The sequence below is a fragment of the Homo sapiens genome, chromosome 1 (genome assembly GCF_000001405.40).
Source record: "Homo sapiens chromosome 1, GRCh38.p14 Primary Assembly".
Taxonomy (NCBI): domain Eukaryota; kingdom Metazoa; phylum Chordata; class Mammalia; order Primates; family Hominidae; genus Homo; species Homo sapiens.
The window spans coordinates 207,229,642-207,248,384 of NC_000001.11; the positions used below are offsets into that span (position 1 = coordinate 207,229,642).

The 18,743-nt window shown below is 38.5% G+C and overlaps 2 long non-coding RNA genes across 3 annotated transcripts in view; one reads left to right on the forward strand and one right to left on the reverse strand.

Moving 5' to 3' along the window:
* Positions 1-18,743, reverse strand: part of LOC107985251 (uncharacterized) — a 195,120-nt gene that overhangs the window by 102,632 nt on the left and 73,745 nt on the right. The window lies entirely within an intron of this gene.
* LINC02942 (long intergenic non-protein coding RNA 2942) overlaps positions 10,471-18,743 on the forward strand; it is a 74,070-nt gene continuing 65,797 nt past the window's right edge. The window contains exons 1-2 of the long non-coding RNA NR_186170.1: positions 10,471-10,552; positions 14,792-14,895. This is a non-coding gene — a long non-coding RNA (long intergenic non-protein coding RNA 2942). The remainder of the gene's footprint in view (positions 10,553-14,791; positions 14,896-18,743) is intronic.

An 18,743-nucleotide genomic window follows, 5' to 3' on the forward strand; every position in this document is an offset into this window, starting at 1 on the left:
ATATCTTTACCCTACATTTTCATTTCCTACTCTTCCTGACCTGTATCAGATCAAATATGCCATCTTCTTCTGAGTCTCCTCCATTCTGATTACTAGTATTTCTCTAGAGTAACTTCTTGTTTCCACTTTATACTTAAGGGATATTTGGTTTTGTTTGATATCCCTTTCACCCAATAATAACAAGCTTGAAAGTTATTCAAGCCATTCAAGATGGCTTGGCCATCTGCAAGCCAAGGAGAGAGGCTCGGAAGAAAACAAGCATGCTCATACCTTGATCCCAGACTCCCTGCCCCAGAACTGTGAGAATAAGAAAAACCAAAACTCTGTTGTTTAATCCCCCTAGTCTTTGATATTTTGTCATGGCAGCCCTAGAACACTGATATGGACACCAGTAAGAGAGTGAAAGGCAAGCTACAATCTGGAAAGCACTATTTGCAAAGCTCATGTCAAACTAAGGGCTTGTGCCCCCCAAATATAAAGAACTTTTACAAATAAATTTAAAAAGATAATCAACCCACCAAGAGAATGGAAAAAGACCTGAAGAACCTTCACAAAAAATGATATCCAATTGGTTTATAGACATAAGAAAACTTGGTTAACTTCATTAGTCATTAGGTAAATTAAAATCAAACACAAAGTACAATTTCAGAATTCATACTCAGAAGAATAGCTAAAATGATAAAATATCAAGTATTAGTAAAAATGTATTCCAACCGTAACTCTGAAAACCTGCTGGTGAAAGTATAAATTGGTCCAACTGCCTTACAAAATTCTTTGGCAACTAAGCTGAACATATGTCTACTCTATGATCCAGCAATTCTACCCCTAGAGATTACCTCTCAAAAATGCATCCGTATCTATTCACCTATGGACATGTGCTAGAATGTTTATAGCAGCCCTATTTACAATAACCCCAAACTTGAAATGATCAAAATGCTCATGAGTAGTAGAGGATAAATTAATGGTGATACATCATATGACGAAATATACCGCAACAATGAAATGAATGATTATACAGATGAATTTCAAAACAGAAAGTGTTTAGTGAAAGATGCCAGATACAAAAGATGTACATACTGTTTTGTTTCATGTATGTAATGTATAAAAACAGGCAAAAGTAATTCATAGTGTTTAAGTCAAAATAGCAATTTCCCCCGGGATGGGGGTATGAGGAAGGCTTTGGAAGTCCTGGTAATGTTTTGTTTCTTCATCTGGGTGATGTTACATGGGTATGTTCAGTGTGTGAAAAGTCAACTAGCTCTGCATTTGAGACGATGTGCTTTTTTGCATGTAAAATATTCTTCAATAAAAATTAAATTAAAAATTGTAAAGAAGGTGAGTCTTCTTTTTTTTCTTTTTTTTTGAGACAGAGTCTCACTCTGTAGCCCAGACTGGAGTGCGGTGGTGCAATCTCAGCTCACTGCAACCTCTGCCTCCTGGGTTCAAGCGATTCTCCTGCCTCAGCCTCCCAAGTAGCTGGGATTACAGGCACGTGCCACCACACCTGCCTAATTTTTGCATTTTTAGTAGAGACAGGGTTTCACCATGTTGGCCAGGCTGGTCTCAAACTCCTGACCTCAAATGATCTGCCTGCCTCGGCCTCCCAAAGTGCTCGCATTACAGGCGTGAGCCATTGCACCTGACCAAGGGTTTTCTATACCCCACTGATCTCGGGGCGGGGTAATGGCTGGTCTTCCCATTGACGTAGAATATCCTTACCCATAATGCAGTCAGATATAGGAGAAATTGCTATATTCCTCACAACAGGATTCATCTTTTCAGTGCTTATATTGGCCACATTTTTTTTTTGTTTACAACTACACCTGATATCCCCAAGGTTACTCTGTCCCCAGTTAGGTGGAAAATGTGAATAAGTCCCAGAATCTGTAAGTTTCATCTACACTGTTTTGGCTCCCTGCAGGAAAGAATAACCTAGGTGTTAGATTTTGTTGGTTTTTTGTCTATATTATTCCAATACTATTTCTCTGGACCAGATTCTTGGAAGCTAAAGGTATAGTTTTCATGCCCCATTGGTAAGGTCTACTTCTATCATGCCTCTCAAAGTGATATGGTTTGGATTTGTGTCCCCTTTGCCTTCCACCATGACTGAAAGTTTTCTGAGGCTCTCTCAGCAGTGCTTCCTACACAGCCTGTGGACTGTGAGCCAATTAAACCTCTTTTATTTGTAAATTACCCAGCCTCAAGTTTTTTCTTTCTTTTTTTTTTTTTTTTTTTTTTTGTGACAGAGTTTCCCTCTGCTGCCCAGGCTGGAGTGCAGTGGTGCGATCTCGGCTCACGGCAAGCTCTGCCTTCTGGGTTCACACCATTCTCCTGCCTCAGCCTCCCGAGTAGCTGGGACTACAGGCACCTGCCACCACACCTGGCTAATTTTTTTTTTTTTTTTTTTTTTTTTGAGACGGAGTCTCGCTCTGTCGCCCAGGCTGGAGTGCAGTGGCGGGATCTCGGCTCACTGTAAGCTCCGCCTCCCGGGTTCACGCCATTCTCCTGCCTCAGCCTCCCAAGTAGCTGGGACTACAGGCGCCCGCCACTACGCCCGGCTAATTTTTTGTATTTTTAGTAGAGACGGGGTTTCACCACGTTAGCCAGGATGGTCTCAATCTCCTGACCTCATGATCTGCCCACCTCGGCCTCCCAAAGTGCTGGGATTACAGGCATGAGTCACCGCGCCCGGCCGGTCTCAAGTATTTCTTTATAGCAGTGCGAGAACAGACTAATCCACGGGCTTTAGCTATCTCATAGTATCACATCTCTCCCCTTCATTGTCCTGTTTCCTCACAGAGACTTGGCTATAACGGGCATGGGGTCTTGCATGAATCCCAATGTCTATGCAATGATAGTATTTATAGTATTGACAAACGTCAAGAGGAGGCTCTGATGGATGCGGACATCAGATGCTTGGGTAAATCAAAAGATACAGAAATATGGGAGGACATTATCAAGGTCTGGATACAGGCAGAGAGATTAGTCACATTTTCCAGATTAGTTTCCAGGCAAGTTTCCAGCTTTCAAAATCTTCACAGCAGATTCACAGTTGAGATGATTTTATCTGAATGAGTGAGAGCCTCATGAGAACTTTGGAAATGCAAATATTCCCTTCTAAGCATTGCCTTATAAGACTAGAGCAATTCTAGACACGGGCTGCTTTTGATATAGGCTAAGCCAACTCAGCCAGGTCACGTGTACCTCATCGATATATGACTTCAGGTGTAATGACTCAGCTTTCCTGGCTGATATAGCCCACACCCAGTACACTCCTTACCTAACACTGGGTAGTTACTCAAATGTCTCTTGACATCAGACTGATAGCCCATTAAGGCCTACCCTATATTTATTCTCTGTACTTGAGTCATTATGTGTTTCTTAAATTGAACCAATGTCTTCAAGCCGGAAAACCACAGTTTCTTCACATCTTCTCTTTTCCTTATATCTAATCAGTCATTTAATTCATTTCCTTCTTACTTTGAAATGTTTTCGAGAGAATGGAAAAATGTTTGTGTTAGAATTATGGGATAATTTCTACAATATAGGTCTATTTTTAAAATTTCATTTACCCCAGTTCCAACTATTATTTGACCCAAAATGGATCTTCATCCAGTCCTTTGACTCTTGTACTTCCATTATTCTTCACGTCTCGTTTTACCAAGAAGGGTTAGAAATCTTTCAAACAAGCATGTTCAAGAATGATTTTTAAACAGGAGGTTGAGAGCCTATGCAAAGAAATGACTATAGAAATCAGTGACATAATCTAAATATATCCCCAATTCTGTCATTTCTAATCACATTTACACTATCACCCTGGCCTAAAACACCATCACTTCTGGACTAGATTACTACAATAGGCTTCTGGCTTTAGGCTTCTTCTCTTACCTCCTCATAGCAGTCATGGAGAGCTCAAGTGGTTGTTCCTCTACTCAGAATTCTTGATTAGTTTTTTCTCAAAGACTAATTTTATATATTATTTTCTGACTTCTGTCATTTCTGAAGAGAAGTCAGCAGTTATTCAAAGTATTCCCTGTATGTAAGCACTGTCTTTTTCCTGGATGCTTTTAAGATTTCCTCTTTATTTTTGGTTTTCAGCAGTTTGACTATAATGTGCCTAGGCATGGTTTTCTTCATATTTGTTCAGCTTGAGTTTCACTGAACACCTTGAACCTGTAAATGTACCTCTTTTCTCAAGTTTGAGAAATCTATTTTTTCAGATAATTTTACTACTTCATTCTCTTTTTCCTATTATGGAACTCCAATGACATGTTTATTTGGTTATCTGATATTGTCTTATAAGTCCTGAGGCTCTGTTTTTTATATAAATGTTTTATCTTTCTCTACTTCAGACTGGACAATTTCTGTTGATTTATCCTTAAGTTCATTGGCTCTTTCCTTTCATTTCCATTCAACTGCCAAGTTCCTCCAGTGACATTCTTATTTCAGAGGGTACGTTTTAGTTGTAGAATGTTTTGATGCCTTTTTTTTTTTTTTTTTTTTTTGAGATAGAGTCTCGCTCTGTAGCCCAGGCTGGAATACAGTGGCGCGATCTCGGCTTACTGCAACCTCCGCCTCCCAGGTTCAAGTGATTCTCCTGCCTCAGCCTTCAGAGTAGCTGGGACTACAGGTGCATGCCACCATGCCTGGCTAATTTTTTGTATTTTTAGTAGACACGGGGTTTCACCATGTTAGCCAGGATGGTCTCTATCTCCTGACCTCGTGATCCACCTGCCTCGGCCTCTCAAAGTGCTGGGATTACAGGCTGTGCCTGGCCAATGCTTTTTAATATTTTATTTTCTACTGAGATTTCTTATCTACCTATTCATTACCAAGCATATATACCTTTACATCACTGAGCATATTTATAATGGCTGTTTTAAAAAACTTGCCTGCTAATTCCAACATTTGTATCATCTTAAAGACAGTCACCATTGACTTTCCTTTCCCTTAACTGGAGTTCAGATTTTCTAGTTTCTTCATATGTCCAGTAATTTTGAATTGTATCCTGGACATTATAAATGGATTCTATTATATTCTCCCCAAAAAGAAAGTTATTTTTGTTTGTACTATTTTTTGTTTTTCATTTAAACAGACAACTAACTTACTTGCATCCAACCTGAAAACTCTCTCTCTCTGGAGCAGCCCAAATCTCAGTTTACTTCTTTTATCCTTAGCTGCTCTGTTTTTAGTCTGTCCTGCTCATGGGTGATTCAGAGATCAGCCAGAGATTTGGGCAGAGTTTATACACAGGATGGGCTCTTCTCTTTGGTTCTTTAATTTTTATGACTCCCATAATTTTCTAGTGGCTGTTGCTGCCCAAAGCTCTGTTTTTTTCAAACCAGGAAGACTTGGTTTTGTCTCAGAGTTTTAGCCATGCCACATCATGTCAACTTTGATATTCTCTCAGGCTAAAAGGCATAACAAATGGGAAGTTTGATCTATGGTGTCCCCTTCTTCTAAGACTTATTGCTCCTTTAGAATGTATCTGCTTTTGTTCACTTTCTGGTTCCCTAAGGTAGGATTTTTGTTGTTTTCTTCCGTATTTTATTCAGAGTTTAGAATTGCTATCTGTGGGAGGGTGGGACCAGTAGACACTTACACAGCTATACTGAAAATTGAAGTCTTCATCCTCTTACCCATATTCAGTCTTTTGAGCTTGCAGAACATGATGTTCCCTCTTCAGACAAAACTTTTCTCCTTGGTATTTTCATGGCTCACTCCCTCACTCAATTCAGGCCTTTACTCGAATGTAACTTATTCAGAGAAGCCTTCCTTGACCATATCATCTAACGTGTGCTGCCCATCCCACCTCACACCTTACCACCCAGCACATTACTCTGTGTTATTTTTCGTCATGCTACTTCTTTCTCTGACCTTGTATATATTTATTTATCTGGTTTATATTTATTTTTCTCACTAGACTATAAGCTCCTTGAGTATGGCATTTTTTGTCTGCTTTGGGTAGTGTGGCATTCCCAGCACCTAGAATATTGCTTGGCTCATCGTAGGGGCTCAAGAGATATTTGTTCAATGATTAGTTCATATTAGACGCTTAAAAATACATCTACACACAAACATGTACAACCAATTTTTTATGAAGGTGCAAATGTAAATCAAAGGAGAAAGGATAGCATTTTTGAGAACAACTGAACATCTACAGGCAAATAAATAAATAAATCTTGATGTAAACCTCATACCTTATATAAAAATTAACTCAAAATAAATCCTGGACTTAAATTTGAAACATAAAACTAGAAAAAGAAAAAAAACACATGAGAAAAATCTATGAGATCTAAGATTTAAGTGTAAAGTATAAAACTATAGCACTTACAAAATCTTGGGAAATAGCATAGGGGTAGGCAAAGATTGTTTAGATTTGACACCGAAAGCGCACTCCATTAAATGGAAAAATTGATAAATTGGATCTCGTTAAAAGTACTCCAGGGTGGGGTGTGGTGGCTCACACCTGTAATCCCAGCACTTTGGGAGGCCAAGGTGGGTGGATCACGAGGTCAGGAGTTCAAGACCAGCCTGGCCAAGATGGTGAAATCTCCAGTCTCTACTAAAAATACAAAAATTAGCTGGGTGTGGTGGCACATGCCTGTAATCCCAGCTACTCGGGAGGCTGAGGCAGAGAATTGCTTAAAACCCACGAGGCGAAGGTTGCAGTGACCTGAGATCACGCCACTGCACTCCAGCCTCAGGGACAGAGCAAGACTCCCTCTCAAAAAAAAAAAAAAAAGTACTCTGGTACACCCATACCCCATACTATGGAGTACTATTTGGCAGTAAAAAAGAAAAAAAATGGATGATTGACACATATAAAATCTTAAATGAATGTCATAGGAATTATGCTGAATAAAAAACATATAATCCAGAAAGTTTATATACTCTAAGTTTACACACTGTATAATTCCATTTATATAACATTGTTGAAAATGACAAAATTTTAGATATCAAAACCAGATTAGTGGCTGTCAGAATTAGAGGTGAGGGGGATGGGCATGAGGGAGGTGAGTGCGTTATAAAAAGGCAACATGGGTAATCCTTGTGTTGATGGAATTCTTCTGTATCTTGACTGTGATGGTGGATACACCAATCAACATATGTGATAAAACTGTGTAGAACTGAATGCACATGCAAACAAACAAGAATACAAATAAAGTGAGAAATTTGAATAATATCAGTGGATTATATCAATGTTAATATTTGTTTATTATTTCATAGCTCTTAATTATTTCCTTTTGTGATGACTTGGGGGGAAGGAAATAGTATCTCTGCTTTCTAGATATTAACCCCATTTCTTATCTTCTTTGTCTCTACCTAATTACCTAGTTTTCTGTGACAGTTATTTACATTATTTTAAAAGTACTAGATTTTAAATTAATGAGATTGAAGCCATAATAAAAAGTCTTCCAGTAAAGAAAAGCCAAGGACCTAATGGCTTCACTGCTGAAATCTACCAACATTTAAAGAAATGTTAATACCACTCATACTCAAATTATTCCAAAAAGTAGAGGACAGAATACTTCTAAATTCATTCTAGGAGGCCAATATTACCTTGATACCAAACCCTGAAAGAGACACGTCAAAAAAAGAAAAAAAAGAAAAAAGAAAGAAAAAAGAAAACTACAGGGCAATAACTCCAATGAATATTGATGCAAAAATCCTGAACGAAATACTAGCAAATTGAATTCAGCAATACATTAAAAAGATCATTCATCATGACCAAGCAGGATTTATTCCAGGGATGAAAGGATGGTTCAACATAATGCAAATCAATCAGTGTGATACATCACATCAACAGAATGAAGGACAAAAACCATATGATCATTTCAATTGTTGCTGAAAAGGCACTTGATAAAATTCAACATCCCTTCATGATAAAAAAAAAAACCTAAAAAAACTAGGTATAGAAGGAAGATACCTCAATATAATAAAAGCCATATATGACAGACCCACAATTAGTATCATATTAAATGGGGAAAAACTAAGAGCCTTCCCTCTAAGATCTGGGACATGACAAGGACTCCCACTTTAACCACTGTAATTCAACATAGTACTGGAAGTCCTAGCTAGAGCAATTAGACAAGAGAAAGACATAAAGGGCATCAAAATTGGAAAGGAAGAGTCAAATTATAATGATTTGCAGATGACGTGATCTTATATTTGGAAAAATCTAAAGCCTCCACCAAAAAACTATTAGAACTGATAAACAAATTCAGTAAAATTGCAGGATACAAAATTCACATACAAGAATCAGTAACATTTCTATATGCCAACAGTAAACAATCAATCTGAAAAAGAAATAAAAAAGTAATTCCATTTACAATAGCCACAAACAAAATTAAATGCCTAGGAATTAACCTAAGAAGTAAAAGATCTTTACAATGAAAATTATAAAAACACTGATAAAAAAATTTGAAGAAGACATCAAAAAATGGAAACATATTCCATGTTCACGGACTAGAAGAATCAATATTTTTAAAAAGTTCATACTATCCAAAGCAATCAACAGATGCAGTGCAATTCCTATCAAAATACCAATGACATTCTTCATAGAAATAGAAAAAAACTATCCTAAAATTTATATGAAACCACAAAAGACCCAGAAGAGCCATGGCTATCCTAAGCAAAAAAAAAAAAAAAAAAAAAAATGGAGAAATCATATTACCTGATTTCAAATTATACTACAGACTGATAGTAACCCAAACAGCATGGTACTGGCATAAAAACAGACACATAGACCAATGGAAGAGAAAAGAGAACCCAGAAACAAATCCACGGACCTACAGTGAACTCATTTTCAACAAAGGTGCCAAGAACATACACTGAGGAAGACAGTTTCGTCAGTAAATGGTGATGGAAAAACTGGATATCCATTTGCAAAAGAATGAAACTAGACCCCTATCTCTCAGCGTATACAAAGATCAAATAGAAATGGATTAAAAACTTAAATCTAAGACCTCAAATTATTTCACTGCAAGGAAACATCAGGGAAAATCTCCAGGACATTGGTCTGGGCAAAAATTTCTTGAGTAATACCCGAAAAGAACAGGCAACCAAAGCAAAAATGGACAAATGGGATCATATTACATTAAAAACCTTCTGCACAGCAAACAAAACAGACAAGCCACAGAATGGGAGAAAATATTTGCAAACTACCGATCTGCCATGGGATTAATAACTAGAATATATAAGGAGCTCAAACAACTCTACAGGAAAAAAATTTCATAATCTGATAAAAAGATGGGCAAAAAGGTTTGAATAGACATTTCTCAAAAGAAGATACAAATGGCAAAGAGGCATATGAAAAGGTACTTAACATTACAGATCATCAGAAAAATGTGAATCAAAACTAAAATGAGCTATCATCGCCAGTTAAAATGGCTTTTATCCAAAAGATAGGCAATAATAAATGCTGGTGAGGATGTAGAGAAAAGGAAACCCTAGTTCACTGTAGGTGGGAATGCAGATTAGCACAACCACCACGGAGAACAGTTTGGAGGCTCCTCTAAAAGTAGAGCTACCATATGATCCAGCAGTCCCGCTGCTGGGTATATACCCCAAAGAAAGGAAATCAGTATATTGAAGAGATATCTGTAATCCCATGTATGTTTTTTTTGCAGTCCTCTTCACAATATCCAAGATTTGGGAAGAACCTAAGTGCCCATCAACAGATGAAAGGATCTATTGAAATGTGGCACATATACACAATGGAGTATTATTCAACTGTAAACAAGAATAAGATCCTGTTATTTGCAACAACATGGATAGAACTGGAGGTCATTATGTTAAGTGAAATGAGCCAGGCACAAAAAGACAAACATCACATGTTCTCACTTCTTTGTGGGATCTAAAAAATCAAAACAATTGAACTCATGGAGATAGAGAGTGTAGAAGGATGATTACCAGAGGCTAGGAAGGGTATCGGGGGTGAGCTGGTGGGGGATGTGGGGATGGTTAATTGGTACAAAAAAATAGAATGAATGAATGAATAAGACCTAGTATTTGATATCACAACAGAGTGACTATAGTCAATAATAATTTAGTTGTACATTTAAAAATAACTAAAAGAGTATAATTGGATTGTCTGTCACAAAAAGGATAAACGCTTGAGGGGATGGACACCCCATTCTCCATGATGTAATTATTACATATTGCATGCCTGTATCAAAACACTTCATGTACCCTATAAATAAATATACCTACTATGTACCCACAAAAATAAATAATTCCAACATTTTTAAAAAAGCAAGAAAGGTAAAAGCACTAGGTTTTAGTGGAAAGCACAGATTTGATTCAGATTCGTGAACCAAATAAGTGGCTAAAACTTTACAGATAAGTGGCTGAACCACTTATTTGGGTACAGACAGGCCTGACAAAATTACTCAGACAATATTTGAGTGGGACATTCCTTGTGGTTTTTCCTGATTTACCTAAGTCACCTAATAAGTCACACTTGGTGCCATTCTGATCTGTTGAAAGAGGGAAGTGTGGTGCCTGAAGCACTGAAAAGCATGCGGGAGAAGGTGATAACAAGGCTCAGGTAATGAGGCTCAGGCACCTATTATCTGTAAAGTTTTGGCCAAATGTCACCTACACTTTTCTGGAAAGGTGATTTTAAAAAACCATAGGCTGTCATAAGACTAAATGTGATCATTTATGGAAAGTGCTTAGAACATAGAGGTGCCTAATAGGTAAAAGAGTCATCTAACGAACGCTCTAAATTCCTTGTTTTTTCTAACTAATATTCAGTTATTGTCTTAGAGTCTCTTCTAAAGTTAAGTCAATTCATGACGAACTTATGTGCTTTCCTTCTTTTTAGGGAGGTTAAAATTTAATCATGCTGTAATAAATGTTACATCATAATTTACCGAGTTACTTTTGGTAAATGAGAACTAAGTGCTTTGGATTTTGAACTCCTGTAACAGTCTTTGCAGCTGAACTAGGTAGGCAGGTCATTTTCAGGCCTTTCCCAAAACTCATCTTCTTGTAGTAAAAATCAGCATATTTATTATTATTATATTATTATTCAAGTATTATTTCCCATGAATTATAATTATGTACATAAACAGCTTATCTTTTACTGCCTTTTTTCAGAGACATAACACCAGGCTGAGTGTGGCTTTTGGCTGATTGAAAACCATGCAAGCATTCTTCAGGTCTGATGGAATCTTGCTGTCTGTGTATGTTCCCACTTGCAGCCACATGCTCCTGCATGCTTTTCAGTGCTTCAGGCACCACATTTCCCTCTTTTAACAGACCAGAATGGCACCAAAGTGTGACTCATTAGGTGACTTAGGTAAATCAGGAAAAACAAAAAGGAATGTCCCACTCAAATATTGTCTGAGTAATTTTGTCAGGCCTGTCTGTATTCTTGAGGTTTTTTTTTTTTTTTTTCCGTATTTCTCTTTCCCCCTCAGGCTTTAGAACTTTTGGAAGGAAATGTAACTTTCCTCATCAATTTTGTTTTGTTTGTTTTTTAATTTCATCCTTCTGTTGGCAGTCCAAATTCATAACTGAAGCCACACCTTGTCCTAAGTAGGCAGTGCTGCTCAGGATGGCTTTCTCTCACGCTGTGATTTCCTGACTCGAGTGGATCTCACACTCAGACTTATCACACTCAAGGTTTGCTTTAAGGGTGACTGAGCCTGCCCACTCTGAACCAAAGTCCTTTTTTTCCATCCCTTATTTGTTTTTTCACTCAAAAATGAATTACTTACATTCCTAGATAACAATCTCTTTTAAGTACAGCTCCTATCCTGTAAGGAAAAGATTAGGGTTCTATTGCTAAATGGCTTCAGAGTTCCACAAGGTTACTTACTCCTTGCATCAGAGCCCCTGATGCTAAAATTGAAGTTTTGAGTGTCCTTTGACTCAGTTGATTCTAGGAACCCTGATTCCACCCTCTTGCCCTGAGCTCTTCCTTAATGCAGAGCTTGGTCTTGACCTGACTTTGCCCCAGGGTGTAGCTGCTACTGGCTATTGGACAGCTGACCTCCAGTTTGGCAGAGGCTGCTGCTAGTTCTCTCTCTTTCCTTTAGTTGTTTCTAGGTGGAATCTGTGACCTTCGGGCTTCTGTCAGTGCAGGTCAACATGTACCATGAGGCCTGCGTCAGGGAGCAAACCACCCTCCCATCCCTGTATCTCATGCCTATCCAGCCTACACCGTGAGCCAGGCATTCCTAGTGCACAGGGCCCCAGGAAAGCCTGGGTAAAGTGCACAATCAATGAAAGGAAGGTAGTTTACATCAATCAATTGCAAAGATATTTATTCCATGTTAGGAATTTTATAAGTATGGTCAAATTGTAGTAATTTACACCAATTTGTGGGAGGCATAATAAATTATTTTATTAATGTTGTTTATTAACAAATTAATTATTTTATTAATGGTATAATAAATTGTTTATTAACTTCCATTTTATTTAAGGAATGTTTAACTACAATTTTTTTAAGTTTTAATACTTTTAAGTATATGCTAATACCATTACTAGGGGATTAAAAAAACTTGGTTTGTGTATATTCCTGGGGATCTACCCTAGTAAACAGATAAAGATGAAGTGCAGGCAGCTTCGCTTCCTTACATATAAATATAAATACAAAAGTGCTTAAAATTCCTTTACCTCTTAAATGAGTTCATTATCACCTGCTGTATTTTTGTTTAACAATTGGCTGTCACATTTTACCATCCAGAAAGCAAAAGTGAAATTTTTATTGTTGTCACAAATTCTGAGAAAACGAACTAGAACCTACATTTATAAGGTATGTGTAAAAGTTCTCTGTAAACCATAAAACATTATATAAATACAAGGTTTTATTTTTGCAGTTTGGTAAGTAATTTTCATTATTCAAATACTTAAATTTTTTTCCTTAAAATTTTTGTTTGTTTGTTTGTTTGTTTTGAGACAGAGTCTCGCTCTGTCGCCCAGGCTGGAGTGCAGTGGCATGATCTCAGCTCACTGCAAGCTCCGCCTTCTGGGTTCACGCCATTCTCCTGCCTCAGCCTCCCGAGTAGCTGGGACTACAGGCGCCCGCCACCAAACCCAGCTAATTTTAGTGTATTTTTAGTGAGACGGGGTTTCACCGTGTTAGCCAGGATGGTCTCGATCTCCTGACCTCGTCATCTGCCCGCCTCAGCCTCCCAAAGTGCTGGGATTACAGGCGTGAGCCACTGCAAATTGTTTTCTATAAATGCAAAACACAGGGTATTGTTGAGGTTGGTACGTAGGGAAGTGCTTGCAGATTCTGAGTTTGTGCAGTTCTTGCAAGTTTTCACAGGGCAATGTCTCTTTATCACAAAACACTTCTCAAATAACTTCAGTTAAAAAAAAGTCTCCTCTGCTGCTGACTTTATGTCTAAAGGTCCTTCATTGCCCTCAAGTAGCACAGGCAGCAAGTTGTAAAGAACACAGACCACGTGGAGCAAAACTAAACTGACTGCTCCTCACTAGCTGTGTGACTTTGGGCAAGTAGATTTACCTCTCTGTGGTTCTGTTTTGTCATTTGTAAAATGAGGATAATAATAATGCCTATCTCATGTGGTTGTTGGGGGAGTTTATATTTGTTAAATGGTTAAAACATTACCTGACAAATTATAGTAAGCATTTATACATACGTTTTTATTTACTTATTTATTTAGAGACAGGGTCTCGCTCCGTTGCCCACCCAGGCTGGAGTGCAGTGGTAGGATCTCAGCTCATTGCAACCTCTGCCTCCCAGGTTCAAGTGATTCTCATGCCTCAGCCTCCCAAGTAGCTGGAATTACAGGCAAGTGCCACCATGCCGAGTAATTTTTGTATTTTAGTAAAGATGGGGTTTCACCATGTCGGCCAGGCTGGTCTCCAACTCCTGGCCTCAAGTGATCTGCCTGCCTTGGCCTCCCAAAATGCTAGGATTACAGGCATGAGTCACTGAGCCCGGCTTACATTTTTAAAATATTTTAAATTATTGAAAGAAATAGTTCTATAGAAGGTGAGAAGTCAATTCTGCTTCCTCCAAATACTTATACACATACCCACTTTCCTTAATTCTTAGCCACATGGTAATGTGAGGGAAGGCATCCCCTTTGTGAATTATGTCATGTTATTTTATTGGCAATGGCATTGATTGGGAAGCATAAAAGTCTTCCAATAAATCCCTTTAGTTCTGTGCTGCTTTCTTTAATGAATCAGAAGAAAACACCCTCTTTCTCTCTCCCTCCCTCTCCGTCTCTTCCTCCCCTTCTCCCCTCTGCCCTCTGTCTCTCTCACTATCCAAGTTTGCAATTCGCTTCCCCGGATTACACACTGACACTATGAAAATATTAGTGAATTCCTCACTCAGCACTCTAATGCAGTGTGAATGCAAGCAAGGATATGCTCTGACTGGAGCAGCTAACATCTGCAGGTTTGCAGGTTGTTCATCTCTAGCTTCTCAACGCAACGGGAATCCAAACTCCCCAGCCAAAATAGTGCTGAGCAGCTAACCACTACAGAGTGGCTCAGAAGTGACTTGGAGGGAAGTGTTCCTCCCAGCCAGAGGCAGTTGCCATGGGTCAGTGCTTGAGTCTGAGTGAGGTGGGTCATGGTTCAATTTCAAATATCCAAGAAATAGCACCATTACTCCCCAGTTTATATGTAGTCCAAAACCTTTCGTGAGATAGTTGACCTATGGGGTTGACCCCACTGTTGGTCAAATGACTGTTATGACAGAATAAGCAAAATATTTCTTAAAAGGTTATTTACATTATTTTACCCAGAACAATTCCAGGAGCTAAGTCATCATCACTGCTTTTATTTTACACAGGGGAAAACCGAGGCAAGAAGAGAAGTCCTGTTGCATAGAAAGAGAGAGCTCAGAAACTGGAATTAGATGCCCTGGGTTCACATCTTGGCTCTGCGTCTTAAAAGGTGCTGTGTGATTCAGCTTCTCCATCCCTCAGCTTCCTTATCTCTACAGCAAATATGCTCCTACAGGGTTGCTGAAGGCTTACATGAAATAATGCATGTAATACGCTTGACACGTAGGCTGACATCTAGCAAGTGTTCAGTAAATATCAGCTAGTAAATAACAGCTACCACTCAGCTAGTGGTAATGCTGGTTGACGTGATGGGGTGGTGATAGCAGTGGTATCAAGAGTAGCGGAGAAAGAAAAGACAAAATTCAGCAAGATTTCTTATCCCTTTTATTAATTATCAGTGTCCAAATGTGTTTTTTCTGAGGTTCATAAGATGCTAAGGTAATGTGTTTTGACTACAGCTCTGTACCTAAAACCAGAAATATTAAATGCAAAGCTGTCTGTGGAGAAGAATTGGTATACCAGTCTTGAAACTGTCACCACCAATATGACCCTGGCTATTGGATGTTTGGCTCCCAGAGTGTCTTTTGCTCAGAGAACAAATCTTGGAGTCTGGATGTGTACAAGTGCAAGAGGATAAATAATATGCATTCAATGAATTTTATATATGATACCTCAAAATAAATGATAGGAAAATGGGATGGTTCATAAAATGGGAAAAGTAGTAATATCTCCTAAAGGATGGTCTCAGTTGTTGCGGTTAATTTATAAGGTGTTTACAGGTACTGGTTCTTTCTACCCTGAAGCATTGTGATAAATCCGTGGTGGTAGCAAAGTTTATTGCATTTGTTTTACAGGAAGTCAGCAGAGTCTTATTAAACAGTTGCCCTGGCCCTGGGCCTCAGTATTTCTCTATTATTTGATGTGGTTTTCTGGTGAATTAGTAGAACTGGATCCCCCTGCAGCTTAAGCCTCCTCTTTGCTTGTACTGATTCTGATTATTGCCTAAGAACAGATATAGATTCAACTCTCAGGGAAATATTTTGCTAGGATCCAAAGTATTTTTCTGGAGTTTCCTGCCCATGCATCCTGGGGTCATTCCTTACCTTCTAATCCTCCTGTCACAAGCCTTCCTGAAAAGCTTTGATTTCCTCTTTCCATTCATTTCATTTCATTTCATTTTGATTTCCTCTTTCAGAAAGTCTCTGAAGGCTGTGACATAGTCATGGCAGGCAAAACCCTCTTACACCGTCTCCCAGGTCACAGGGTCTCAATAGTGGCCCTACAGTTACATAAACTGTCTCTACAGATGGAAAAACTGAAGCAAGAGAGAGACAAGGAGAAAATCATTTAAATATACCATACCTCTATTCCCAAGAAGATGGAGAAAGGATTTGCTTTTCTATACAGTTCTTGAGAGAAAACCTCAGTTTATCAACTCCATTTAAGTATCATTATTTATGGCAATAAATAACTTTGGCAAAACTTGCTAATACACATGTGACCTTAGAATGTGAAATTATTAATTTATATCAGTGTAATTCAGCTGAAGATTTTACTTTTCTGAATTTGGCAGGCTAACTGAAGTAAATAATTACCTAATAAAATCAGTTTGACCTAATTTTCATTTGAATGTCTATGTCATATAATGTCAGTGCTCTATACAAGTTCACTCCCTACAGTTTTTCTTTTCCATTTTATTATATCTCAGTGGTTGTGAAGGGTGAAGAGTTACATAACAGTGTTCATGTGATTCTCTCTCTCTCTAGACATCAGTGCAGAGTTTAGTAAATCATATTCCTTAGTTCATAAGAGGCTATTATCCTTGGTCAAGGTAAAAACCCTTCTCTGCTTTCTTCCCTTATCTCTTGACTGCCATTCCCCATTTTCCTCTCTCCACTCCCATAGGTACCTACTCTAATGTGTGTGATACATGACGTTTAGTGTGCACACAGATTGTGAATGTGTATATGCTTTTCACCTTCCTTGCTCCCAAGTACTACATAGTATTCTAATACATGCATCCTCCATATTTTGTTTATCCATTCCCCTTGGGATGAACACCTAGGTTGCCTCCAGCTTCCCTTTACTATAAATGACTTTGTGATGAGTATCCTTGTATATGTCTCTTTATAAAACTGCTTGAGGTTTTCTGTTGTATATATGCCCTAGAAAGTAGATGCAGTATCAATTAATTTTGCTGTGTAGAAGAGTTATTTTGTCTCCATTGTCACACAAACATATAGGATTACTTACCTTACTAATTTTTAATATTCTGATTTATTATCACATTTTAATATCTGTAAAATCTGTAGTAATGCCACTTTTCTCCTTTTCTCATTCCTGAGATTAATAATTCACATTTCTCTCTTTTTTCTTCCTGCTCAGTCTGTCTATAGGTTTTATAAATATTTTTTGATTTCTCAGATAATTAGCTTTTTGTTTTATTGATTTGCTCTACCGTTTTTCTTTGCTATTTCATTGCTTTCTGCATGGATCTTTATTTCTTCTGCTTACTTTGGGTTTAATTGGCTCTTCTTTCCAGTTTCTTAAGATGAAAACCAAGGTAATTGGCTTAGACCTTTGTTTCCTTTCTAATAAACACTTTGCTGCCATAAATTTCTGAGAACTGCCATGTGGCATTCCACAAATTTTAATATGTTGTACTTTCAATTTCATTCACTTCAAAATACATTCTAAATTCCTTTTCAATAAAAATAGTTGTTTTATGTTATGGTATGTTGGGATTGTTTTGCAGCAAAGCCAAACAAAAACTTCCTTCTACTTTGCTTGCAATTTGATAGGCTAAGGTAGAGAAAGAACTGCAATGGCACCCAAATTATCAGTCCCAGGCGTCTTGCAGGGCTCATTACATGTGTGACAGGTTCAACTTACGAAGAACTGATCTAGGTTTTGACATGTGAAATAGTTCACTTTTTGTTGTTTTGTCGAGGTGATAGTAAGTGTAGCCTTTGTGGTAGACTGTTCTCAAGAAAAGCTGACAGAAATCTTCTAGGAAGAGATGGAGAACTTGACTGAGGATAGAAAGGAGTGTGAGAGAGGCTTGTTTTCCTAATGCTGCTACAGACACTCTGATGTCAGGGAGCTTCTCTTTTTTTCTTTTTTTTTTTTTTTTTTTGAGACAGAGTCTCGCTCTGTCACCCAGGCTGGAGTGCAGTGGCCCAATCTCGGCTCACTGCAAGCTCCACCTCCCAGATCCACGCCATTCTCCTGCCTCAGCCTCCCGAGTAGCTGGGACTACAGGCACCCGCCACCATACCCGGCTAATTTTTTTTGTTTGTTTGTTTGTTTTTGTATTTTTAGTACAGATGGGGTTTCACCGTGTTAGCCAGGGTGGTCTTGATCTCCTGACCTCGTGATCCGCCCGCCTCGGCCTCCCAAAGTTCTGGGATTACAGGTGTGAGCCACCGCACCCAGCCGGGAGCTTCTCTCTTATATGAGTCAGGGAGGGGCTCCAAAGGTGAGAAAGAGGATTTCCTCCACAGTTCTAATGAATCAGACCAAACAAGGAAGCAGGAAACAAGACAGGTGTCTGGGACCTTCCATGCAATGCCCCAGAAAACTGGTTCACAGTGGGGGCAATATGGGAAATGAGGGTATGTTTCAAAATAACTTTTATAATTGCCTTATTCCAGATTCTCTGAAAGCCATTGTATAACAGATTTGTTGGGGTAACAAAATCCTTTTTCAGAAGAAGGTAGCAATGGATAGAGAAATTTTTTCTCAGGAGAAGTCATTCAGAGCAGATGTGGACAGGAAGGGTCGTACAAGGTTCATATACATGCTGAGCCCTGGGGGGTGGGGAATGAATGAGGGACCCCACAGGATGCCTTCTTTTGTGATGTGGTCCTACCCTGTGAGTGTATTAGTTGGGAAAAACTAAGTTTATTGTCATGGCAAACAACCCCCAAATCTCAGTGGCTTTAAAAATAAAGCGTT